At 35.6% G+C, this 13,469-nt stretch overlaps 1 protein-coding gene across 2 annotated transcripts in view, besides 1 other annotated feature; it reads right to left on the minus strand.

Moving 5' to 3' along the window:
* The window catches only part of EPM2A (EPM2A glucan phosphatase, laforin), a 352,671-nt gene that overhangs the window by 164,344 nt on the left and 174,858 nt on the right, over positions 1–13,469 (minus strand). The gene's annotated exons all lie outside the window — the stretch shown is intronic.
* Positions 5,170–5,671: an enhancer, noted in NCBI's record as "NANOG hESC enhancer chr6:145874002-145874503 (GRCh37/hg19 assembly coordinates)". NCBI's record gives its function as "activates a minimal SCP1, AML or CMV promoter by ChIP-STARR-seq in primed H9 embryonic stem cells {active_cell/tissue: H9 hESC(primed)}" and the evidence as "EXISTENCE:reporter gene assay evidence [ECO:0000049][PMID:30033119]".

Below are 13,469 nucleotides of genomic sequence, written 5' to 3' on the forward strand. Positions count from 1 at the left end.
TGTTACTTTTAGTTCTCTCTTGCTATTGAACAGAAAATAACCTTGAAAGATAACATAAGAATCTTCAGGGCAAATTACACAACAAGAGGACTCAGACCCAAGGAATGATGAAAATGTGTGTGTGGTGATCCACAGACACTACCTTGGGTCATCAAGATATTTACTTTCCTTTTAAATATTTTTCCTACATTATTTGATTGTATATGATAATAATGCATGATTTTTAGAAGTAATGAAAACACTTATTTTATAAATCCTAGTAACGACCCCAAAACTAATATTCTATGACTTTCCTTTTTCTAATAAATGAGACCCAAATACTCAATTGTGTCCCCTCAGGCCTTTCCTGCTTCGGCTCCAGATGATTTTTCCAGCCTTTGCTCTTACCATGTTCCTTGGCACTCCCGCATGCTGCAGTGAAATCATGCTCTTTATTTCTGTCTCCATGTGGAGCTGGAATGGTCATTCATCCCCATGACTTTGGCAAGACTCCTCAATTTCCACAAAGGCGCACTGACCTTCTTCTCTTTCTGACAACATCTATAATATTTTAATGAGCTTCCAATCAAGAATTCAGTTTAACTGCACTTTAGAGACTCATGAGAAAATGTAGCCTCAAACATTTGCTCTCTAACTTCTATTAAGAGCCCAAATAAGAAAAGTATTACTCTTCACTATTCCTGGAGGACATTTACTTATTCCTGCCTAGATGACTTTGCACAAAGAATCTTCTCATTTTAGTCCATCACGGTCCTACCTATGGCAAACTCGGGCATGACAAGGTCCTTGGGAGCAGCCTTTGTAGTTAACTCATAACAACCTTGAAGCGGGACATTGGTAGGTCTAATTCCAGAATACATGAATAATAAATGGATATTCTACCAAAGACATCATGGGAAGATGGGAAACAAGGTACACATGGTAGCAACACCCACTTCAAACCCAAATTGATTGCCATTGATCCCTCTCCTTTTTCTCCTAAAAGCCTCTACCCTGAAGACACCTCATCTATCTTCCCTTCTCTGTTGCCTTCTGCTGCCTTTAAAAGTCCTCTTTGTTTTCCTAAGAGCTAAACTCGGCTCTCACTCACTTTGCTTGCTCTACTCAATAAATCAACAGCCTAATACATACGTCTGCACTTTGGTGGTCTCAGTTCCCACTCCAAAGAGAATTATCAGAGTATACATCAAACAAAACAAGGCTCTTCTTAAAGGAAAATTCTACTGCTAAGGAGGTACTACTTCCCTGATACTTCAGATCTCATCTGAAGCCGTGTGTAGCTAGTTGAATTATGTACCCTGTAAATTTACATTGAGAATTGTTACAAGGAATAGAGATACCTTTATCTGTTTTGGCATCTGCCTAAATGTGACTTTTTGGTCTCTCTTGCTAGTGCACAGGAAAATTCTTCAAAGATAACATAAAAACCCTCAGGGCAAAATTACTCAGCAAGAGGCCAAAGCCCCAAAAAGTGATAAAATATATGTGTTGTGAGCCACAGACACTAACATTCTTGCCCCCTGCTCAATTCTTTAAATGTTAATCTATCTGTTAAAGACAAAAGGCAATTTTACTCCAAATGCCATCCTTATTTTTGGTTTGAAATTTATAAGCCTACTTATCATTGTTAAAAAGTATAAAGCAATATAATTCTGTTTTGAAGAATTAGAAACCAAAAATTGTTTTCATGATTTATACAAGGCATTTTACTTGCAATGATGTAATCCTTTGTCAGAATTTTATTTACATACACTTGCCTCTAGACGCAAGTAATTGGAACAGAGTATTCATGAGGCAGAACTGAGGAGTGAGGAATATTTTACTCTTCAACTTCACTGACAATAAATTGTCACACTTCTTAGTCCCTTGCCAAAAATAAATAAATTCTAACACTATAAACGCTGATATTATAAAACATTCCTAAGGAACATATGATAGAAACCTATCCATTATGGTAGCAGAGCTGAGCATAGGAAAATTGCTAAGGGAAATTGCTTCTAGGTCAGCTGTACCAGAGGGTGCCTTGTGATGAGCCGACTACCTTCCCTAGCACAGACTTATGGTCACAGTGTCCTCTGTCCCAAAACAAGAGAGTGTGTATGTGGCAGTAGTGTGCAGAAGCTTTACAAAAGCCATGTGGCCATGAAAGCCATGTGGCTCTGCTTCTCTGCTGCTTCCTCATGTACCACACACCTCAATATTCTCCATCGCCTGCCCTGACATAATCTATAATACCTGAGCAAGAGCAGATGGGGTAGGAATGACTCAAGGAGTCTTCTAACTTGAATTAATGTGAATCCCCTGTATGTTGCAGAGTCCAGTAGAACCGAAAGTTCATAAAGTGGTGTATACTTGTATAGCTTTTGAAGGAACTCAAGAAACGTCACCCAGAAATATCCCACATTGGTCTGCTGATTACTTCAAACTGAGGGAACTTTGGGAACAGCAAATGCAGGGAGAGACTTTCTCTGAACTTACATCATTTGCCTAAAGATGGATCCTACAAAAGGAATGAAATGGTAATGAATCCCCTTCCCAGGAATTTTATTAACCAGGGTCAGGGGATTAACTTGGACCACAAGAGAGGAGACGAGAGGGCAACACAACATCCCAAAACCATTTACTCTCCTTTAAGTAGCCTATATCCTTCCTCCCCTCTCTCCTATGAAAAGGGGATATAAGCTTTTATACCTCACCGGGTTTGGGGGTATTCACTTTTATTTCATGTGATATCCCTGTGCACATAATGAATTTGTACACCTCTTAGTCTGCCTGCTATCAATTTATTTCATAGACTCAATTATCAAATCCTCAGAAAGAAGAGGGAAAGTCTTTCTTCCCAAACACTTTCAACCTCCAAATCAAGAAACTCCCTAAATCCAGTTGACTATTAAATGACACCAGTTCATACTGTGCATGATTACTTATACGAAGATTTTCTTCTGCTATGCTGCTCCTGAATCACCAAGACCAACTCCTCCTCTTCAGCCTACTCAGTATGAAGACAACAAGGATGAAGACTTTTAATGATGATCTACTTCCACTTTATGAATAGGAAATATATGTCCTTTCATATGGTTTTCTTAATAACATTTTTTATCTATTTTATTGTAAGAATAAACTATATAATACATACAACATACAAAATATGTGTCCTTCCTTCCAGTAAGGAAGCCTTACTGATACTATAAACAGAAATATAAGTCAACAGTAGGGTATTAGTAGTTTCGTTTGGGGAAAATCAAAACTTACATGTGAATTTTTGACTGTGCAGTGCTCCTAACCCCCACATTAATGAAGGTCAACTGTACAGCGAATAAGGTCTCCTGCACAGAATTCCAGAATTCCATGTGTGAGAGACTTCATACCTTCAAGTCAAATGTCTCCCACAGAAGTCTGAGTAAAATATGGTATAATAAAATTTGATTTTGATTTCTGTTTTCAATGATATGACAGGTTATATACCTTGAATGGCTTTTCTGTTTAAGACACAGAAAATGTTTTCCTAGGAATCATTTTAAATGCACTGTTAACACACAAAAAAAGTTAAAAACAACAACAACAAATAAGCAATCCAAACATCTTAAAAATTAGGTGAAACAGTAAGTCTGAGTGGTTGCCAAGGCTGACTTTGCCCTGAGGATTTCTGCTGAAATATGGAGAGGAGAACTCAAGTTTCTGATGTAATAGTGGCTTAGTACACAGGAAGCAGTAGAAAAATTCCAATGAAAGCCTAGTAAAAGGTTCCTTTAAAAAGCAGATACCTAAATGACATTAAAGGGAAAAGTAAATTTTCCTGGCTTGATTTTGACACTGGATGAAAGAAAAAATACATATACTCTGAGGATCTGAGACCTCAACTTGGCCTTCAAATGGGTTTTGCCCCAAATTTGCACTTTCTGGTCCAGAAATCTTGGTTAAGAATTACATTTAAAATGTTTTTGAGTTGGTTGTGTCACTCAGAAGAGACTGGCAGAAATAAATGTAAATCTTCTCTGGTAATGTCAATTTCAATACTGACCAAATATCTCACACAGATGTAATCAAGGAAAATAAATCATTAACAGCACAAAATCCAAAGGATTCACACGAATAAGCCACCATGAGGGATATACCATAGAATCAAAATAAAGGACATGAAACATTACGTTTTATGTACTTAAACTTTTTTTTTTTTGTAAAAGAAACTTGGAAGCATGAACAAAGAGCAAGGCATAGTAAAGAATTTCTAGATTCGATATAGAACCAAATAAAATTATATTTAGGTAAAACCAAATAATGAAAATTTAAAAATTAAACTAAAAACTTGAGACTAAATAACTGAATAGATTCCTATGAATACAGAATCAGATAACTAGAGCACACCTATGAAAAAATTTGATGCAAAATATGAAAAATAGATTGAAAGAGAGAAGATAGCGACAAGGGCTATAATAATGCCTAATTAGATATTCAGAAAAAGATGCTTAAAAATTGGAAATATACAATATTTAAAGATTTTTAAAGGCTGAGAACTTTTAAGAACTATTGCAGGATCTTCAGATCCCAGAAGCCAATACATCTCAAGTAGAATAAATGAAAATAAATTATATTTTAGACACATAATAGTGAGATTGCAAAATGACAAAGAAGAAACACTTTTAAAAGCTTCCAAGAAAATACAGATAACCTACAAGGGAATGACAATCAGAGTGATTTCTGACTTAACATCAGAAAGAATGAAAACCAGAAGATTGCAAAAAAGTAGACTTACAGAAAATCACCGTCAGCCTAGATTTCCTTAAGCAAATCTGTCTTTCAAAAACAAATAGCAAAGACAGATTTAGACAAAAATGAATGTTAATTTGCCACTAAAAGATTACCCACTAAATGTAATAAATATATGTATTTTGAGCAGAAAATGATTCCAGATAGAAGATTTGACATGTAAAAAGGAATCATGTGCAAATATATTGATAAATATGTGAGCAAAAGTAAGAACCACTGACTGTAAAACTATTAAATTAATGGCTAGTTTATGGGGAAATACAGGCTAAAGCTAAAATACTTCCTACTAATAGTATATGTTTCTACCCAGGTGTGGGCTTTGGACGTGGGCTCTGACAACTGATTTTTCTAGTCCAGCAAACATTTCCTCAAAAAGATTTGTTAATTTGATTTTATCTGATTGGTTATTAAAGAAAGACAATCATTGGTGGAATATAGCATGTGCCAATTATATGTTAATTAATTAAGAAATTAACCTTTATCTAACCACTTAAAATACTTTACATCTGATATGGTTTGGCTCTGTGTCCCCACCCAAATCTCACCTTGAATTGTAATCCCCATAATCCCCACGTGTCAAGGATGAGACCAGATGGAGGTAATTGAATCATGAGGGCAGTTTCGCCATGCTGTTATCATGATAATGAGTGAGACTCATGAGATTTGATGGTTTTACAAGTGTCTGGAATTTCCCCTGCTTGCACTCATTCTCTCTCCTGCTGCCCTGTGAAGAGATGCCTTCCACCATGATTGTAAGTTTCCTGAGCTCTCACCAGCCGTGCATAATCATCAGTCAATTAAACCTCTTTTCTTTACAACTTACCCTTCTTGGGTATTTCTTCACAGCAATGTGAGAATGGACTAATACAACATCTGTTTCAAGAAATTCATTCTGGATATCCTTTCAAATTGAACCTTTATTCCCATGCTCCTCCTCAGTAGCGTGGCTAACGAACTCACCAAAAACACTAAGGCAACTAGTCTTGTATTGCTTAATTAGGGCAGGGGATGGAAGGACATTTGTGCTGTCTACCTTCCAATCCTTTGCCCAGGGTAGACACTGCTCATTAATCATGGCACTGTTTGCTGCAGGGCCCAACTGGCATCTCAGAATCTTTCTTAAATGCTCCACACAAGCCACTGCTCATCAATCAGAGCTAGCATTTCACATCAAACCTAGTTACCTTTCCCAGCTTAAAGGCTGCTGACTTTATCCCATATGGAAAATGGTTTGTGATTACTACTTCTTTTTTCAGCTGTTAAGAAGAGAAATACCATTTTATTATTTGTCCTGGAGACAGTCTTTTACCCTTTGTTGCTGACAAATAGTTACATATATATATTATTATATTTAGTATATATATTATATATATAGTAATATATATGTATATAAATACATATATATTACTTGATATATATATATCAAGTAATAATAACATTGGCTTAGAAATTCACATTGGCATGGGCAAAGTAATCTGACTTTTAAGTATATGCACTCTATATTTGCTTATAAACAGTTGTACAAAAATTATGTTTTACTATATAGACCTCATATTTGTATAATGCTTTACAGTTGTCAAAGCACCTTACCATAAATTTTTGTTCCAAATTCTAAAGCAAATATATGTTCAGCAATGCTATGTGACAAGAACTGTGCTGGCTGCTGGGGATACAAAAGTTCTTGCCCTCTTGAGTTTACAGCTGAGTAGGGGAAATAAAAACATCCCCTAACGATGGAAGTACAGAATGACACTTTCTATGGTGAATACTAAGGGGGGTAGTATGATGTAGTAATTTAAAGTATGGACCTCAGACCCAGAAAAACCCGAGTTTTTCTGTACTTGTTCCTCAATGTACCAGATACCTGACCTGAAGCTCTGTATTAGTGAGGATCTTCCTGAAAAACAGAACCAATCAGATGGATGGATAAATAGATAGATAATAGAGAGATAGATAGATGATAGATAGATAGATAGATAGATAGATAGATAGATAGATAGATAGATACATAGACAGAGAGACAGATTGATTTACTTTAAGGAATTGGTGTCCTAGTTCATGTTCTGTTGCTACAACAGAATACCACAGACTGGATAATTAATAAACAGAAATTTATTTAGCTCATGGTTCTGGAGGCTAGGAGGTCCAATACAAAGCAGCCAGTTCTGGCAAGGGCTTCCTTGCTTTCTCCTGATATAGCAGAAGGCATCACAAGGTGAGAGAGGAAGAATGTGCTCCTCATATAGCCACCAGTCTCATCATGCGGGCCTATCTGATCTTATCTAATCCTAATTACCTTCCTAAGGCATCACCTATAATCAGCATATGTATTGGGGAACACATTAAAACCATAGCTCATATGATTATAGGAGCTGGCAAGTCAGTCTGAAATTTAAATTCTGTTGGAAACTGATTGTGCAGTTTGGGTTCCAAAGGCAGTCTCAAGGCAGAATTTCTTCTTCATCTGGGGACTTCAGGCTTTACTCTTAAGGCCTTCAACTGATTTGATGAAGACCACTCACCTATGGAAGGTAATCTGCTTTACTCAAAATCTAATCATTTACATGTAAATTACATCAACTTATCACCATAGCCTAGCTAAGTTGACACATAAAATTAATGATCACAGGCTCAGTTCTTCATCAGTAAATGGGAATAATAATATCTGCTTCACAGGATCCTTGAATGGTTTAAATGGGATCGTTCTATTAGTGTTTGGCACAGTGTCTACAAGAAAGACCATGCTAGCAATCATCATGTTAGCATCATTGGTGTTAGTTCATCCTCTGCTCCTCTCCCTGGTAACCCTGGACCAGCTCCAGGGCAGAGGTCTCAGCCATGCACAGACTTCCCCTCCTCCCAGCCTTTGTGCATATGGCTTCCTGTGCCCAGAACATTTAAGCCAGTCTTTATACATGAACTAGGTAATCTAACTCTAACATGGCCCATAAATTAGGTTGAGCCAGGAAACACTGGCAATCTTTGACCATCTTTGACAAGAAAATCAGCAAGTTTATATGGTTCAGTTTAATAAAATTAAGCTACTTGCAAAGCTATCAGTGTGGATTAAAATGAAACTCTAGGCCAAAATCCAAAAATAATTGAAAGTAAATAGGGAAATTAAATGTTAATCTGCAAACAAAATCTCTAAAATTCCTTTTCTTTCTCTTTGTCTCTCAACATACACACACACGCATATGCACATACTTACAAATAGTTGTGTGTGCTTGCATTTTTCTATTTAGACAATATATATTAATAGATATGTATATGTATTTATGTATCACATGAAACAAGGCCAGTAGCCCAATCTGTTCCTCTAACCTAACTTGGCTTTGCTCTCTCATCTATTCCACACACTCCCCCCACCTTCTGATTTTAGGACTCCTTTGTTTTTCCATAAGTAGTTCCCTGACCTTTCTGATGTAAACAACTCAAACTTATGCCTACCTAACAAAGACACAGCCTAGCAAAGAGGACAGCTCTGTAATGGAGGAAATTAATTAAGACACACATTAACCTTTTCTTTTTGCTGTTATAGCATTTTATGCATACATAATCTATCTCCAGATTCCATTATTTTTTTCTCTGCTTATATTTGTGTTCTACAATTACAGCCACTCTATTAAATGAAAATAAAAAACAACACATTTTTACACATTAGGTTTTTGTCCCATGACTGTATTTTTAAGAAATAATACTTTTGTGAATAGAACACATGATAAAAGCATGCCAAGATTCCCCAGGCCTCAAACTGTGCCTGTGCAGATCCCTTCAGCTGACAAGTTAGAGAACACTCTTCAATTCATCTAGTGGGAAGGAGGGTTAACCACTACTGAAGTATTTTAGTTTTTCTCATTTCCTTGTGCAAAGCCAGCAGGTACAAATTTATTTCTGATGAGCAGAGAACTTGCAAAGGTTACTTGACCTTGATGTGATAGAATTTTCTGAGCTTAGAAGATAAACAGCTTGTCTAAATTCCCCTGCTGGCCTCACCATCACTTTAAGGTTAATAAGGGAGTATTTAGAAGGCAGAAAGTATTTAGAGCTCTGGGAAGTGAAGTAACAAGAGAAGGGAGAGAAACACTTATAAACATAAAGTAATACTGTACAGGGAAAGAGAGCAATTTCATTAATGACTTGAGAGCAGCCTTTGGCATTAAGCTCTATGAAGGATTCCTGGAAAACTTTGAGAAGCAGACCACCTTAAAGTGCTCAGCTCATCTTTTTCTATTCCCAAGGTAGTATTCTCTTTGGAGTGACCATCACCTGTTTGCTGAGAAAAGCTGACCTTCCTCTCATTAAAAATATATGCAACCATATCACATAACAGCTTATGTCTCTGATTTCCATTCTGTCTTTGAACATATTTTAAGTATTTACAATAATAGTGTGTTTGTAGTTTTATTTATTTGTAGCAATTATTTAAGAAAATTTGGTGGTGTATATATGGAAATATCATACACGATCATGTAAAAAAAGCAAGTCAGAAGACTTTCAGCTCATAACAATTCATGTTAGACATGGGTTCCATTCTATCTGCAGTGAAATGATGCATTCATGGCAAAACAGAAAATAAAAGTAGAGCAATTTTAGCAGATTATCTGTGCATATTTCACTATATACACACAAAAGATCTCTAAATATTCAAGCATCATATCTTCGCAAGAGTGTTTTATTCAGTATTTCAATTCATAAATTATATATTTTGAGAGTAACTTCTCAATTCACTTTCTGACAGAAGTTCCACAGAACCATTGGCTGAAATATAAGCTCAACTGCAAGGAAATAGCAAGAAGCAGAGAGTGAGGGATGAGAAATTACCCATTGGGTACGATGTACACTATTTGCATGATAGTTACACTAAAAGACCAGACCACCACTATGCAATATATCCATGTAATAAAACTCTTCTTGTACCCCCTAAATCCATAAAAATAAAAATGGAGAAAAATAAAAAATGGAAAATTTTTTAAGAGGAAGGAATAAAGAAAAGATAATAGGAAACAGATAAAATCTCAAGACTAAAGGGTCATGTTACCTTCTGTTTTACCAAAATTGTGATTCTACATGTTGTTGAAGAGAAATAACTTACTAGCCTACAAAATTAACAAATGTGAATTTTTATTTATCATTTTATTTTTAAATTGACACATAGAAATTGTGTATATTTACTGTGTGCCCACATGTTGTTTTGAAATATGTATACATTGCATCATAGCTAATTCAAGAAAATTAGCATATGTATAACCTCATATACTTATTTTATTGTGAGAACACTTAAAACTACTCTACTGTCTCAACAGTTTTCAAGAACACAATATTTTGTTATTAACTATAATCATCATGTTGTACAATAGATCTCTTGAACTTGTTCCTCCTAACTAAAATTTTGTATCCTTTGACCAACATCTCCCCAAACCGTCCTTGCCTCTCCAGCCCCCGGTAACCAGCAGAGGTTTTATTCCTTTGTTTTTCCATAAGTGGTTCCCTGACCTGCTCTCTATTTTTATGAGTTCAATGTTTTCAGATTCCACATATAAGTGAGATCATGCAGTATTTGTTTTCTGTGCCTGGCTTATTTCAATTAACATAATGTCCTCCAGGTTCATCCGTGTTGTCACAAATGACAGGATTTCCTTCTTTATTAAGGCTGAATAGTATTCTATTATTTATATATACTACATTTTCTTTATTCATTTATGGATAGAAGCTTAGATTGAGTTCATATGTTGGGTATAGATCTCGTGAGACTTATTCAGTACCATGAGAACAGTTTGGGGGCATGATCGTGAGGCCTCTCTAGCTTCATGGAACTGTGAGTCCATTAAACTTCTTTTTCATTATAAATTACCCAATCTCGGGTATGTGTTTATCAGCAGTGTGAAAACTGACTAATACAGGTATTGAGAATAATGCTGCAATGAACATGGGAATGCAGATATCTGTTTGACATACTGATTTCTTTTGGATATATACCCAGAAGTGAAATTGTTAGATTATATGGTAGTTCTATTTTTAATTTTTTGAGGAAGCTCCATACTGTTTTACATAATGTCTGTACTAATTTACACTCCAACCAACAGTGTACAAGGGTTTTCTTTTCCCTGCACCCTCATGAGGTATATAGTAATATCTTATTGTGGTTTTGATTTGCATTTCTCTGATGATTAGTGATTTTGAGCATATTTTCATGTATATGTTGGCCATTTGTACGTGCTTTTCGAGAAATGTTTATTCAGATCCTTTGCCAATTTTTGATCAGAATTTAGACTTTAATAAGAGATAAGATGACTAAAGCCCAAGTTACTAATGTTGTAGATACGGTAACTGCTTAAAATGGATCATTTTCTAATATAATCAGCCTTATGCAGAAGCAAAGCCTGTTGCTACAGTTCCTAGCCCTCCCTGGACCATCCCTTTTCCCCACCTCCACCCCTCTATTATGCTTTTATAAGGCTGGTGGGCTGGTGCATCAAGTTCCATCATTACAACTCTGTGACTGGTAAAATGGATTTACCAGAGAGGAGAGATGGTCATTATTTCTCCAGTTTATATGTCTGTGAGCCAGGAGCTGTCTGAAGGCAGAGATGTTGTCTTCATTTTCACAATTCCAGAGGTAGGCAAAATAGTTTAGTAAAAAGAGATCATCAGTAACTTTGTATAAAATATAGAAGTGAATCAATCCCAGTCATTCCTAGGGTGATTTAGTTTATCTCATCCTTGACAATCAGGAATCTATCTGGAGGGTGGTTATGATGGGAAATAGAGAGAAGGTGAACAGGCAATGCCTAGAGCCTAGGGCATTATCCAAACAGACCAGAACTGAGTGGACTATAGGTCCTGGAAAGCCAATAATCAATAGAGCAGAGGATTTGCAAAAATAAACAAATCCTGGTTCATCCTAGTTTTCACTTCTTGACTATGTGATTTTGGCCAATTTCCTTTCTTAGACTTGGTTTCTATTATCAAAATAGCAGACTGTGTGAAAATTAAAGATAGCATAAGCCTGTATGAAGCTAACAAATAAAGGATAGAGACTAAATTATTTATAATTATTACAGTTATCTTTAATATCATTAATGTCAGTAAACAATTACCCCCAGAAAAGATAAATTTTTTTTAAATGACAGTAAAGTGGAGACAAAGAGAAAATTTCTTCTTCACAATTTTGCCTATGGATGGCTCCTTTCCAATAATACTTTCTCCTTTTTTTTTTTTTTTTTTTTAAAATGGTGCTATTAACACGTAAACACCAAATCACTACGGTAAACTAATTGATACCAACTTTGTAAGATGCTAATTCCTACCCTCCCCACCCTCCTAAATTATCTAAGACTGATTTCCCCAACAATTATAGTAAGCACACTCTGCTTTCTGTGGTCACATAACCCAAACTCTTCAGATGCACAATTCATAAAGCCAGGATTTGTTTTGTAATCTAAGTAGTTATGAAATGATTAAACAAAAAAAGTTTGGCTTGGTTCAATTGTTTCAGTGAGAGGTTCACAGGTACCATAAGCCGTTGAAGTTGAACATGCAATAATAACAGGAAGGCAAGTTCTCAAATGTTAAAGTACATTCAGCCAGGTTCTTCTTCACATCAAGTACTTGGACAAGCAGTGGCAAGGTGCTGTGGGTAGACCTGGGCCTCAGAAATCACCAAGAAGGGCAATAGTGAGGTCAGCAGCAAAATCCACATAGAATGAACAATTTGCCTCAATGATAATTCTCCTCTCAGTAAATCATTTCTGCTTAGGCTATATTCCACCAATTTTGAATCTTTTCGATGCAATCCACACTTTTCTAGGAAATCCAATCATCAGAAATGTCTCATAGCATATGAGTCATAGAGCATTTATCATATAATAAACTGGAACTTATTTTTCCAGTTAATTAGGGAATATTCAAATAAATTTGTAAATCAGGGGTGAACAAATTTCTTCTGTAAAGGGCCAGATAGAAAATATTTTAGGCTCTGCAAGCGAGGTAAACTCAATTCTGTTTTCACAGCACAAAAGCAGTATGTAAATAAATAGGCATGGCTACTTATTTACCAAAATAGGTGAAGGGCAGGATTTGGACCACAAGCCAGAGTTTGCTAACCCTGGCAAAATCCATATCGACATCTAAATCATGCTATACAAATTAATTTCCAGTTAATTAATATCTGGTTGGAAACTTTATGAAACAATTGTGTGATTTTTCACCATCTCCAAGTAACTTTAGTAATTTAGTAATTTGAGTACTATGAGTATATGAGGTGCTTATCTGCTTAATGAATAAAGGGATGTCAGGTATCAAAAAGCAATGCTTCAAACATGCCATATAGCTCCCTATCCTGTAAAGTTTGTAAACTCTGTGAAGCACATCTGCCACTGTATTCTGCTGACACTTTATTATTTAATTATTTTAATAACCAATTATTATTATTTTTATCATTGTGTGTTGATTTTAAAAATGTTTCTATTGTTACCATAAAACTAGTTCATTTAAGAAAATGTACAGGGTGCATCAATCTTAAGGACAGATTTATTCTGTAATTTGGAATTTTTTACATTTTACAAAATTTATATAGTACATATACTGTAGTATATGTTTCCACACCCTAAATTGTGTGGGGCAGTCCTGCAAGCTCCATTTATGGTAAGTGTCCTATACAGCTATAACCATTTTTTATCTTTTATACCTTTTTTTTTTTT

Source organism: Homo sapiens, chromosome 6 (genome assembly GCF_000001405.40).
Source record: "Homo sapiens chromosome 6, GRCh38.p14 Primary Assembly".
Lineage (NCBI taxonomy): Eukaryota > Metazoa > Chordata > Mammalia > Primates > Hominidae > Homo > Homo sapiens.